Genomic DNA, 12,227 nt, shown 5'->3' with positions numbered 1-12,227 from the left:
AAGTGGATTCTTCCTTTGTCAAACCTCCAGATAAGCACGCAGTCTGCAAGCACCTTGATTATAGCCCAGTGAAACCCTGAGCAAAAGATTCAGTTTGTACCTGGACTCCCTACCCATACAAGCTATGAGATAAACATGTATTGTTTTAAGACACTAAGTTTGTGGTGATTTGTTTTGCAACAATAGAAAATTAATATACTTAGCAGGAAAAGCATAAGGAATAGATTTGGTCCTTATCAAATCCTAGTCAAAATGGAAATTCTCTCTTTTCAGAAGTACACTGAACAATGCAGCAGCGTATACAACTATAAACCCCCCTACATTTTTTTCTTTTGATTGGAAATGTACAAGATCCAATTTATGAGAATTCCTGTGCTTCTAGGGCACAAAACCATAGCAGTACTAGAAACAGCAAATACATATTTTTTATGCATTGCAATGTGTCAGATTTCATGCTAGGATGTCATTAGTAATAAATAGTTGTAAAACTGAAAGAAACCTTTCGAAGCTATCAATGTATAAAAAATGGTATTATAAAATATTGCTATACTAAAATATAATCAAGTAGCATGCAGCCAAAATATTTTAGAAGAAAAAAAGTACTTTAGAGTTATGTCAAGCAGTTAATAAGAAAATATTACATTATTTTTTATAGATTTAATGATGTTTGTGGTATTCGTTAGTATAATGTTTTAGTTTTTTGTTGTTGTCAGAGATAGGGTCTCGCTCTTTCACCCAGGTTGGAGAGGTGTGATAATAGCTCACTGCAACCTCCAACTCCTAAGCTCAAGCAATCCTTCTGCCTTAGCCTCCTAAGTAACTGGGACTGCAGGCGTGCACTCCTATGCCTGGCTAATTTTTTTATTTTTATTCTTGTAGAGAAAGGGTCTCATTATGTTGCCCAGGCTGGTCTCAAAACTCCTGGCCTCAAGTGATCCTCCCACCTCAGCCTCCCAAAGTACTGGGATTACAGGCATGGGCCACCTCGTCTAGCAAAATATTTCCTTTCATACCCACTTATAGAAAGCCTACCCATATGTAAAAACTTCAGACCTCAGAAAACATGGATCCTTATAGTAGGAACTAAACCCCTGCATTATTTGTAAGACCACCTCCCAAATTAACATGCCAGTCCTGGTAAAGTGATTCACATCTTATTTTCTATGCCGAATTTACTATCTCAGTGATCTCCCCAGAAAGCTAGGATAAGGCCTGCCTTACTCTTGCCATTCTAATGCCTTTAATGCCTTCTCTCTAAAATTCTTGGAACTGAAGTCTGTTTTTTTGTTGTTGTTTTGTTTTGTTTTTTTGAGATGGAGTTTCGCTCTTGTCTCCTAGGCAGGAGTGCAATGGCCACTATCTCGGCTCACCGCAACCTCTGTCTCCCAGGTTCAAGTGATTCTCATGCCTCAGCTTCCCTAGTAGCTGGAATTACAGGCGCTCACCACCAAGCCCAGCTAATTTTTGTATTTTTAGTAGAGACGGGTTTTCACCATGTTGTCCAAGATGGTCTCAAACTTTTGACCTCCACCAGCTTTGGCCTCCCAAAGTGCTGGCATTACAGGTGTGAGCCACCGTGCCTGGCCTGAAGTGTGCTCTTAAACCAATGTTAATTGGGGAGAACAGGCTAACTGATGGCAGGCTTTCCTGCTACAAACTATATGCCAGTCTATGTACCAAAATTGCTAATTATAGATTGCTAATTACTATGTTCAACCCACCTGATAGAATGTATCTTGCTATGCTCTAATCCATTCCTTCATCACTAGTTTCTCTCCTGAACTTTCCATTATCTATCACTAAATGTGCCAATTGTGTTCTACTTCCTAGGAGGTACCTTCTATCATTATTAACAGCTGGTTCCTCTACCACAGCTGCCTATCCCAATAGATGTAGTTCCAGAAACCAACTCCCCAAAGTCTTCCCAAGTCCATTGCTATCAGATAACTATTTGATGACCAGCTAATTGACAAAATAAAACCATCATCAGATTAGCACCCTCAAATTCAATAGAAAACAGATTCCAAAGAAATAAATATGCAAAAATTGACAGATCCATCAGAGGAGAGCATCTCAAATTCCCACTACTAAATTTTAAATCTTCTTAAACTACATTTTTTTCTATTTTCATATCATGATGGAAGACTTGTCCCTGCTCCTCTTAAAGCTGAACCCCTCTACTTATGCTGTAGCTATCATACCCTCTTACACTTTGAGGACATAATTTCTTCAACTATTCCCTCTTTCTCTCTCTTACACCATAGATCTCCCCCTTTTTACCAAATTCTCACTGGCATGTAACAGTGCTTTCTTATCCTAAGTCTTCAAAAAAATCCTTTTCAACCATATATTCAATTTCAGCTTCGTGTCCTACCATTTCTAAACTCACCTTCACAGAAAATTTCTAGAGTTGTTAACACCAGATAACTCCCCTTCTTTACTCCCCTTTTAATCTTCAATGCCTGTTAACTTGCCTTGATTTTTTTTTTTTTTTTTTTAGACAGAGTCTCACTCTGTTGCCCAGGCTGAAGTGCAGTGGCACGATCTCGGCTCACTTCAACCTCCACCTCCCAAGTTCAAGCAATTCTCCTGCCTCAGCCTCCCAAGTAGCTGGGATTACAGGCATGCACCACCATGCCTGGCTAATTTTTGTACTTTTAGTATAGACGAGGTTTCACCATGTTGGCCAGGCTGGTCGTGAACTCCTGACCACAAGTGATCTGCCCCCATGAGCCTCCCAAAGTGCTGGGATTACAGGCATGAACCATCACGCCTGGCTCAATGCATGTTAACTTGGATCATGCTATGACTACTTGGTTGAAACTTTTCCTAAGCTCACCAAAGATCACCCTACTATCAAAACAAGTGGAGATTTGTCTCTTCTTTACTTACTTTAATATTCATTAATGTTCAAACAATTGTTCATTCCTCTGCAAGGAGCTCAGGTGGAGGAAGACTTGGCCACATATGGGTGAATATTGGAGTAGGGGGATATGGGAAGAGGAGAAGGACTGACTTGGGATAGACCATGTGACAAGGTAGTGAGTCAGGAGATTGCCAAGCACCAGGGAACTACATGGAAGCTAAATTGAAATCTTAGGGTGGGCTTCCATAGTAAAATACCATAGACTGTAGATGCGTGGTGTTATTTCTGAGGCCTCTGTTCTGTTCCGTTGGTCTATATCTCTGTTTTGGTACCAGTACCATGCTGCTTTGGTTACTGTAGCCTTGTAGTATAGTTTGAAGTCAGGTGGCATGATGCCTCCAGCTTTGTTCTTTTTGCTTAGGGTTGTCTTGGCAGTGCAGGCTCTTTTCTGGTTCCATATGAACTTTAACGTAGTTTCTTCCAATTCTGTGAAGAAAGTCATTGGTAGCTTGATGGGGATGGCATTGAATCTATAAATTATCTTGGGCAGTATGGCCATTTTCACGATATTGATTCTTCCTAACCATGAGCATGGAATGTTCTTCCATTTGTTTGTGTCCCCTTTTATTTCATTGAGCAGTGGTTTGTAGTTCTCCTTGAAGAGGTCCTTCACATCCCTTGTAAGCTGGATTCCTAGGTATTTGATTCTCTTTGTGCAATTATGAATGGAAGTTCACTCATGATTTGGCTGTTTGTCTGTTATTGGTGTATAAGAATGCTTATGATTTTTGCACATTGATTTTGTATCCTGAGACTTTGTTGAAGTTGCTTATCAGCTTAAGGAAACCATCTGATCTTTGACAAACCTGACAAAAACAAGAAATGGGGAAAGGATTCCCTATTTAATAAATGGTGCTGGGAAAACTGGCTAGCCATATGTAGAAAGCTGAAACTGGATCCCTTCCTTACACCTTATACAAAAATTAGTTCAAGATGGATTAAAGACATGTTAGACCTAAAACCATAAAAACCCTAGAAGAAAACCTAGGCAATACCATTCAGGACATAGGCATGGGCAAGGATTTCATGACTAAAACACCAAAAGCAATGGCAACAAAAGCCAAAATAGACAAATGGGATCTAATTAAACTAAAGAGCTTCTGCACAGCAAAAGAAACTACCATCAGAGTGAACAGGTGACCTACAGAATGGAAGAAAATTTTTGCAATCTACCCATCTGACAAAAGGCTAATATCAAGAATCTACAAAGAACTTAAACGAATTTAGAAGAAAAAAATCAAACAACCCCATCAAAAAGTGGGCAAAGGATATGAACAGACACTTTTCAAAAGAAGACATTTATGCAGCCAACAGACACATGAAAAGATGCTCATGATCACTGGTCATCAGAGAAATGCAAATCAAAACCACAATGAGACACCATCTCACACCAGTTAGAATGGCAATCATTAAAAAGTCAGGAAACAACAGGTGCTGGAGAGGATGTGGAGAAATAGGAATGCTTTTACACTGTTGGTGGGACTGTAAACTAGTTCAACCATTGTAGAAGACAGTGTGGTGATTCCTCAAGGATCTAGAACTAGAAATACCACTTGACCCAGCCATCCCATTACTGAGTATATACCCAAAGGATTATGAATCATGCTACTATAAAGAAACATGCATGCACATGTTTATTGCGGCACTATTCACAATAGCAAAGACTTGGAACCAACCCAAATGTCCATCAATGATAGACTGGATTAAGAAAATGTGGCACATATACGCCATGGAATACTATGCAGCCATAAAAAACGATGAGTTCATGTCCTTGGTAGGGACATGGATGAAGCTGGAAACCATCATTCTGAGTAAACTATTGCAAGGACAGAAAACCAAACACCGCATGTTCTCACTCATAGGTGGAAATTGAACAATGAGAACACGTGGACATAGGTTGGGGAACATCACACACCGGGGCCCGTTGTGGGGTGGGGTCATGGAGGAGGGATAGCATTAGGTGAAATACCTAACGTAAATGACGAGTTAACAGGTGCAGCAAACCAACACAGCACATGTATACATATGTAACAAACCTGCACGTTGTGCACATGTACCCTAGAACTTAAAGCATAATAAAAATAAATAAATAATTAAAATACCATAGGCTAGGTGATTTAAACATAAGATTTAATTCTCACAGTTCTGCTGGCTGTGAAGTCCGAGATCAGGCTGACCACATGGCTGGGTTCTGGTGAGGGCCATTGTGGCTTGAAGATTGTTGTCTTTTTGCTGTATCTTCACATGGGAAGGGAGGGGAGAGAGAGAGAGAGAGCACACTCTTGTCTCTTTTTATAAGGATGCTAATCCCATCATGAGGGGCCTGCCATCACAACCATATCTGAAACTACCTCCCAAAGGCCCCACCTCCTATAATACCATCACATTAGAGGTTAGGGCTTCAACAGATTAATCTGGGGAGACACAAGTATTCCATCCATACAGTGTCTGAAAGCCATCCCTCCCTCTTCAAGTAAGTAAATCTCATCTCTGACTAAGATATCCCATTGCTGTTTTTCTTCTGTCTAGTGACGTCCTTCCATTTTCAGATACCTGCATATCATCCATTTATCATTCATGAAAACAGTCATCATCCTAAAACAGTGTTGAGCCCCCATGTGAATGATACCCTGTGTGAAAATCCCTATTTTCATCAGTCTATACCGTGAGGAGTGGTGGTGGTGTGGAAAAGAAAGCCCAGTATCAATACTTGAGTGGAACTGGACAGTGATAAATTCCTATATCAGTTCACTCTTAGCTCTGTGAAACCTATACAGACACTCTTAGCTCTGTGAAACCATCTCCTCCTGGTTTTCCTCCTACCTCACTAGCAGTTTTTTCTGTGTTTTTCCTTTTCCTCTTCTACCTAACATTTATGTGGGCTCATATTTAGGGATTCTTGGTTTGTTTGTTCATTCTCTCCCCCTTGGGAATATCACCCAATCCTATATATGTATGTGTGTTTGTACATACGTGTATGTGCACAAAAATGTGCATGCATATATATATAATTAAATTTATATATTTATATATTGTATATTATATAAAATTAAATTTATATATTTATATATTATATATTACATATAAATTTATATATATATTAAATATATAATTAAATTAAATATATATAATTAAATTTATATATTTAGCTCAGATATCTCTCATGTGCTATGGAATCATAGATCCAAATTCCTACTTGGTTTCTCCAAATGCACAGCCATTAGACATCTTAAACTAAATAAATCTGTGATGTTATAATGAACTCTCTCTCTCTCCCCTAAATCACTTTCTCATCTATTCTTCCCATCTCAATGAAGGCATCAACACTGCCCAGTTTTTTCAAGCCAAAACCTGGGATTCATCCTTTATTCATCTTTCACTGGTATCTTATATCCAGCCCGTCAACAAGTCTAATTGATTCAGTCTGCAAAATATTTCCCAAATCTCTATCTCCATTTCACAAATTTATATCTTCATTGTTACTGATCTAGTCCAATCTGTCATCACTTCTGTCACCTGATTAGAGCCACATTCTTCTCATCGATTCCCTCTTGTTCTCCTATAACCAATTCTCCACTATGCAGCTAGAATGCTCTTTTCAAAATATAATCGAAATGTAACTCACCTACACAAAATCCTTAATGACTCCCCATTGCACTTAAAGTAAAATCTGGATTTCCTTCCTTGATGTTCCAAAGAAACTTTGAACAATTGTTCCTGGCTTCAGGCTGAAAGGCTTTGGGACTTTGACAATGTAACATTTTCCCTTCTCCTAGGAAAAGATAGAATTAATAAAATGTCATCATTGTTCTTAAAGAATAACACAGCAAGGCCTACCCTATACTCCAGGGAAATATATATGTGCATATGTAATATATATTTTATAGATATATCTATACTTAATTTAATAGCTATATGTGTATCTGTATATACACATATATACACATGAATATATACATGTATAGACATATGTACACATATATACATGTGTAATACATACACAAAATATATAGTACATATACCTGTATAACATATAATTTATATGTAATATAATTATAAATATAATTTATATATCATTTATAATGCATATAGATTATACATATTTGTAATTTTGTAAATATATATACATACTAAGAGAAATAAAATATGCAAAGCCCTGCAAAATTCTTTGTGATATCTTTGTGTGGAAATGATACGTTTGCTATCTCAATGTTTTTATTAGATAATAGAGAAAAATACTACCTTTATCAGTTAGAATGCTTTAAGCTACAAGTAACTGAAAACACAACTAAAAATGACTTAAGCAAAATGACATTTACTATTTCACGTAACAGTCAATCCCAGGGTGAGTTGATTCAGAACTCCAGTGAATTTAGGACTTCAGCATATTCACTCTGTCAGCTTTTGATCTCAGGCTTCTCCATAATGTTCAGGAGAAACCTGTAACAGCTGCAAGTGTCACTCCCTCATAGAACAAGCCCAAAGACACAAAAAAGAATATTTCCTTAATGTGTCTGTTCTTATCAAAAGGAAGAATCTTCTTTAGTCACCCATCTGAAAGACTATCCCTCACTGAGTAATTCTATTACTCAGAATTGTCTCATATGTCAATGTCTAAGCCAATCCACTTTTGAGTGGATTGAGATTATGATTATTTTAGACCAATTGTTACAGGACCACCAGGTTCATATGCCTGCTATGCAATAACAGACCAATACACTGAGACAGCAGAGTTAGCAGCAGAGAGTTTAATGATTACAGGGCAGCTGAGCAAGGACATGGGAAAAACCCTCAAATCCATCTCCATGAGAGTTCTGGGCTGACGTTTTTAAGGGGTTGTGGACAGCCAGGGGCTGGAAAATTGAGGTTGCTGATGGGTCAGGAGAAGAGAGATGAAATCATCAGGATGTGGAAACTGCATTCTTTGCTGAGTCAGCACCTCATGGGGTCCTTCAGACCTGCTGGCATCAGTAGTTTCACATCAGTAGTTTCACCGGTATGCGGGACTTGAAAGAATATCTCAAATGGATAAAAGCTTCACAATGCTTAAGATGTTATCTAGGGGAACTATAATCTTGTGACAGGGTCTACGTGATTCTGGGGCAATAGGCAGGAAACAACCATGAGGAAGCAGGTCAGACAGCAAGCTGACCTAATGATTAATGCTGAATGTGCTACAAGCTTGGTTCGTTTTTGTTTCTCTCCTTCCCTTCTTCCCTGGCTAATTTTATGCAGTTGATAGGGACAGTTTCACAGTCATAACTCAGTGTGCAGAGCTAGGGAAAAACAGCCTGCCATGAAGCTCATGGCAGCACTATATCTGAACAAAAGTGGGGTCCCGTTAGCAAGAAGAAAGGAGATCTATTAAGAAACAAGGTGTATGGTGTCTGTCACACTTTCAGCAACTAAATAGAGTTTGCAATTAGGTGTCATCAATGTCCATCATTTCTGTCCAGTGGAAGTAATAAAAGTAATGGGACCATCTGGCATTTAAAGCATTCATCAGATCTATCCACAAAACTTTATGGTGTAAAATCTATTTATTACCTATTTCCTTCATCTTCAATTTCCCAAGACATAGAAATAACGACAGAATCTCACCAGCAGAGGGCTAAGAATTCATGCAGGTAATTTTTAAATTATTATTATTATTATTATTATTATTATCTTTATTTGATAATAAAGAACATGTAGGAAAACTTTTCTGAGTAGTGTTTACCTCTTGGCATACTAAAACTGTCATTTCACTGCTTCATAAAAATAGATACTTTGATTCTCAGTTAGTCGGAGATGATAACCTGGACTTAATATTTGCTCTCACATCTTTACTTCCTATCCCTGCCACTATGCATTAAAGCATCCCTAATTACATCAGTGAGGGTATTATCCAGATTGTAAATAATGTAAATAACTGGTAGGAGCTCTAATGCCTGGAATACAAAATTTAGCCCAAATCCAATGCCAAACAATAAGAGCATTCTGAGAGAAGATGACTCCTTTAATACCTTCTTCAACGGGACTATTGTGGTCAAGCATGGCTCCACAAAATTGTTTGTGGACCTAGAGCCAATACGTGGTGATGAAGTTTGCCTTAGGAAGCGATCACTAGCAAAGAAGATGCATCAAATAGCTTTGCCTCTAGTCACTACACCGTTGAAAAGGAAAGCATTGACTAAGTGTTGGATTGGATTCAGAAGCTAGCTGACTTAAGTACAGGTCTTCAGGCTTTCTTGAATTTTTGCTGGTTGGTGGTAACTACAGTTTTTATTTGCCTTTCTGTTGATAGAATCTCTATCAGTTGATTATAGGAGCAAAATTCTCCATTTACCCAGCTCCTTAGCTTTCCTTAGCTGAAGCTGAGGTCTTCAATTCCATCAACTCTTTAGCACTTTGATTGTGTCTTCATATTAGATAATGAGGCCATCTATAATATTTATGTAGAAACCTTAATATTGAGCACCCAATACACAATAACCTTAAGCACATTTTCAACCAGTGTGTATTCTCCATCATTGTTTCTCTCAGATTTCATGGTGCCTTGAATGTCAATATATCAAAATTTTATACTTATTCTCTATCTTTATGTCTACTTCCCTCCGTGTATATATCCAGCTATCTCTGCTGGGAAAACCTACCACAAACATTTTCTGTAGCAGAGATAACTAATGCTTGCTCTGAGCTAGCCAACCAGATGATATGTGACACTTGAAATGATAAATGTATGGCTCACTACCTATTGTATAGTATTATGGTAATAATACATTATTACTATATCAGTGTAATATGGTTTCCACAAATATGAAGGCTGCATTGCCACCATCAAGACAAATTTGCAGATCTGTGCCTCTCTGGCTTCAAGGTTGGAATCAATTATCAGTGTCCCACTGCAGTTCTAGTAGAGACTGCCAAAGTAAATGCAGTTGTGTGCTCATGGAGCAATACTGCAGTCATAGCTGAAGCCTGGACTTGCCTAGACCGCAAGTTGGTCATGCCAAGAGTGCCTTTGTTCACTGTGTATAAGGGTGAAGAGATGAAAGAAGGGGAGTATTCAGAAGCATGGATGGCCTAGGGAAAGATTATAAGGCAATGTGGATTTCAGAGGATCAGGGAAAGAAGGAGAGAAATATAAGTTGTCTATTCCCTTTAACTTGCCACATCTTAGCACAGTTTATCTTTAACTTAAGTCATCAGTGTCTGATTAGATTGTCTTTACTTTCAAATGTGATTGCTCCTGCATAACTCTTGTGTACCTACAAATTTTTTTCTATTTTCATCCATGAAAGTAAAGGCTTTAACAAACAGAATGACATATAGATGTGTGTATGCATGAGTGTGTATGGAGAGAGATGACAGAAAGAATAAGCTTAAGGCTCAGTGTGGTGGCTCACACCTGTAATCCCAGCACTTGGGGAGGCCCAGACAGGTGGATCACTTGATCAGGAGTTCAAGCCAGCCTAGCGAACATGGTGAAACCCCCCTATACTAAAAGTACAAAAATTATCTGAGATCCATGGAGGGCACCTGTAATCCCAGCTACTCAGGAAGCTGAGGCAGGAGAATCAATTGAATCTTGGAGGCAGAGGTTGCAGCGAGCCAAGATCTCACCACTGCACTCCAGCCTGGGCAACAGAGTGAGATTCCGTCTAAAAAAAAAAAAAAAAAAAAAAGAATAGGCTTAAGAAGGAAAGGCTATCATCCCTGAACTTGAACCTGAAATACCTGTTGTATTTACAAATTCCCAAGTAACTCGGCTCCTCTCTAGTTTTATTTTGAACACTCTTTTTATTTTGGCTCCTCTCTAGTTTTATTTTGAACTCTCTAGTTTTATTTAGGCTCCTCTCTAGTTTTATTTTGAACACTCTTCCTCTTACATACTACAGTCTAGCTGCATTAGCAGGCAGATCCTGATGCATTTATACCATAAAGCCTAGAAAGTCATTTTATTTTATACACATTTATTATTATATTTTGAAGTTATTATATTTTGTCTCCAGTCACTGTTGCTTAAGTAGTTAAGTCAAACAATAAAGTAGGAAGATAGTGGTGTCGGCCGCAGGCTGGTCCCAAGCAGCGGAGGCCGCAGAGCTGAGTGACGCCCCAAGTGCTGGATGCCTCAGCTGGAGGCCATCTGCAAGCTGGGCTGCTATCACTCGCTGGGAGAGGCAGTGAGGCCAGAGCGCCACCCAGTGCCCCTGGGCACGCCTGCAGCTGCCCTGCCTGCTGCTCTGCCTGGCTGACCCAGTAAAGCAGCTACATTGTCTGGGATATATATCCTGGAGCTCGTCATTGCATGCCAGGAAAATTTAGAACACGGACACACACCAGGAAGTTTGGAGAGGAGGTTTAATAGGCAGAAGAGAAAAGAAAGAGAAACAGCTCTCTTTATAGAGAGAGGGGTCTCTGAGCTGAAAGGGCTGGCTGGTTGGCCAACGCACCTGATTTTTCAGTCAGGTTTGAGGAGGCAGTGTCTGATTTACATAGGGCTCACAGATTGGTTCGATCAGGTATGACTTTTACATTGCGAGTGAGAAAGGCTGGTTTCCCCACCCTAATCTTATTATGCAAATGGACTTTCCAGTTGATCCCAGCGCCATCTTGTCTGTTCCTTACTGTACACTGGCTGGCAGAGAAGGGAAGATGGAACCGCCATCTTGAACGTATCTAGTCCCTAGTTCCTGCCAGCATTCACCCCTGCAAGCTCCCAACTTGCTTGTCTGTGTCTGCAGTTCAACTTTACAGGCTGCCCTTTGTTAGAAAATGATTTGCGGCTGCTTTTCGTTAAAAGAAAAGCCTTACTGAGGACTCCCATACCCTTACTATTGGCCTAAGTAATTTCTTCTTTGTCACCAGCAGAGAGTGCAGCACTCTGGCTGCACACCTGCTGGGCCTAGGCCTGCAGCATGCCATGCAGCCCTCCTGAGGCCCTACAGAGCAGGCAGCCATGGGAGGTCTGCAAGGTGCTGTGCAGGACACTCTGCAGCTGTCCCACCTGGCAGTGACCTTAGGAGACACTTAGTTCACTCCCTATCTAGGCATCATGTGTTTCCGTTATCGAAGAAAAGAGTCAAACTTTGTAAAATATTTGGAGAGATTTATTCTAAGCCAAATTTGAGTGACTATAACCCATGACACAGCCCTCAGGAGACCCTGAAAACATGTACCCAAGGTGGTCAGGGAGCAGCTGGGTTTTATACATTTTAGGGAGACATGAGACTTCAAGTACATTTAAGAAATACATTGGTTCTGTCCAGAAAGGCAGGACAACTCGAAGGGCGGGGAGGGGAGGGGAGCGGAGTGCGGA

The 12,227-nt window shown here is 39.6% G+C and overlaps 1 pseudogene, besides 1 other annotated feature; it reads left to right on the top strand.

Moving 5' to 3' along the window:
• On the top strand, positions 8,839-10,012 carry LOC100419046 (tubulin alpha 4a pseudogene; annotated as a pseudogene).
• Positions 11,431-12,219: an enhancer, noted in NCBI's record as "H3K27ac-H3K4me1 hESC enhancer chr4:68588737-68589525 (GRCh37/hg19 assembly coordinates)". NCBI's record gives its function as "activates a minimal SCP1, AML or CMV promoter by ChIP-STARR-seq in naive H9 embryonic stem cells {active_cell/tissue: H9 hESC(naive)}" and the evidence as "EXISTENCE:reporter gene assay evidence [ECO:0000049][PMID:30033119]".

The sequence above is a fragment of the Homo sapiens genome, chromosome 4 (genome assembly GCF_000001405.40).
Source record: "Homo sapiens chromosome 4, GRCh38.p14 Primary Assembly".
NCBI classification, from domain to species: Eukaryota; Metazoa; Chordata; class Mammalia; order Primates; family Hominidae; genus Homo; species Homo sapiens.
This window is presented reverse-complemented; position numbering and strand designations above follow the sequence as displayed.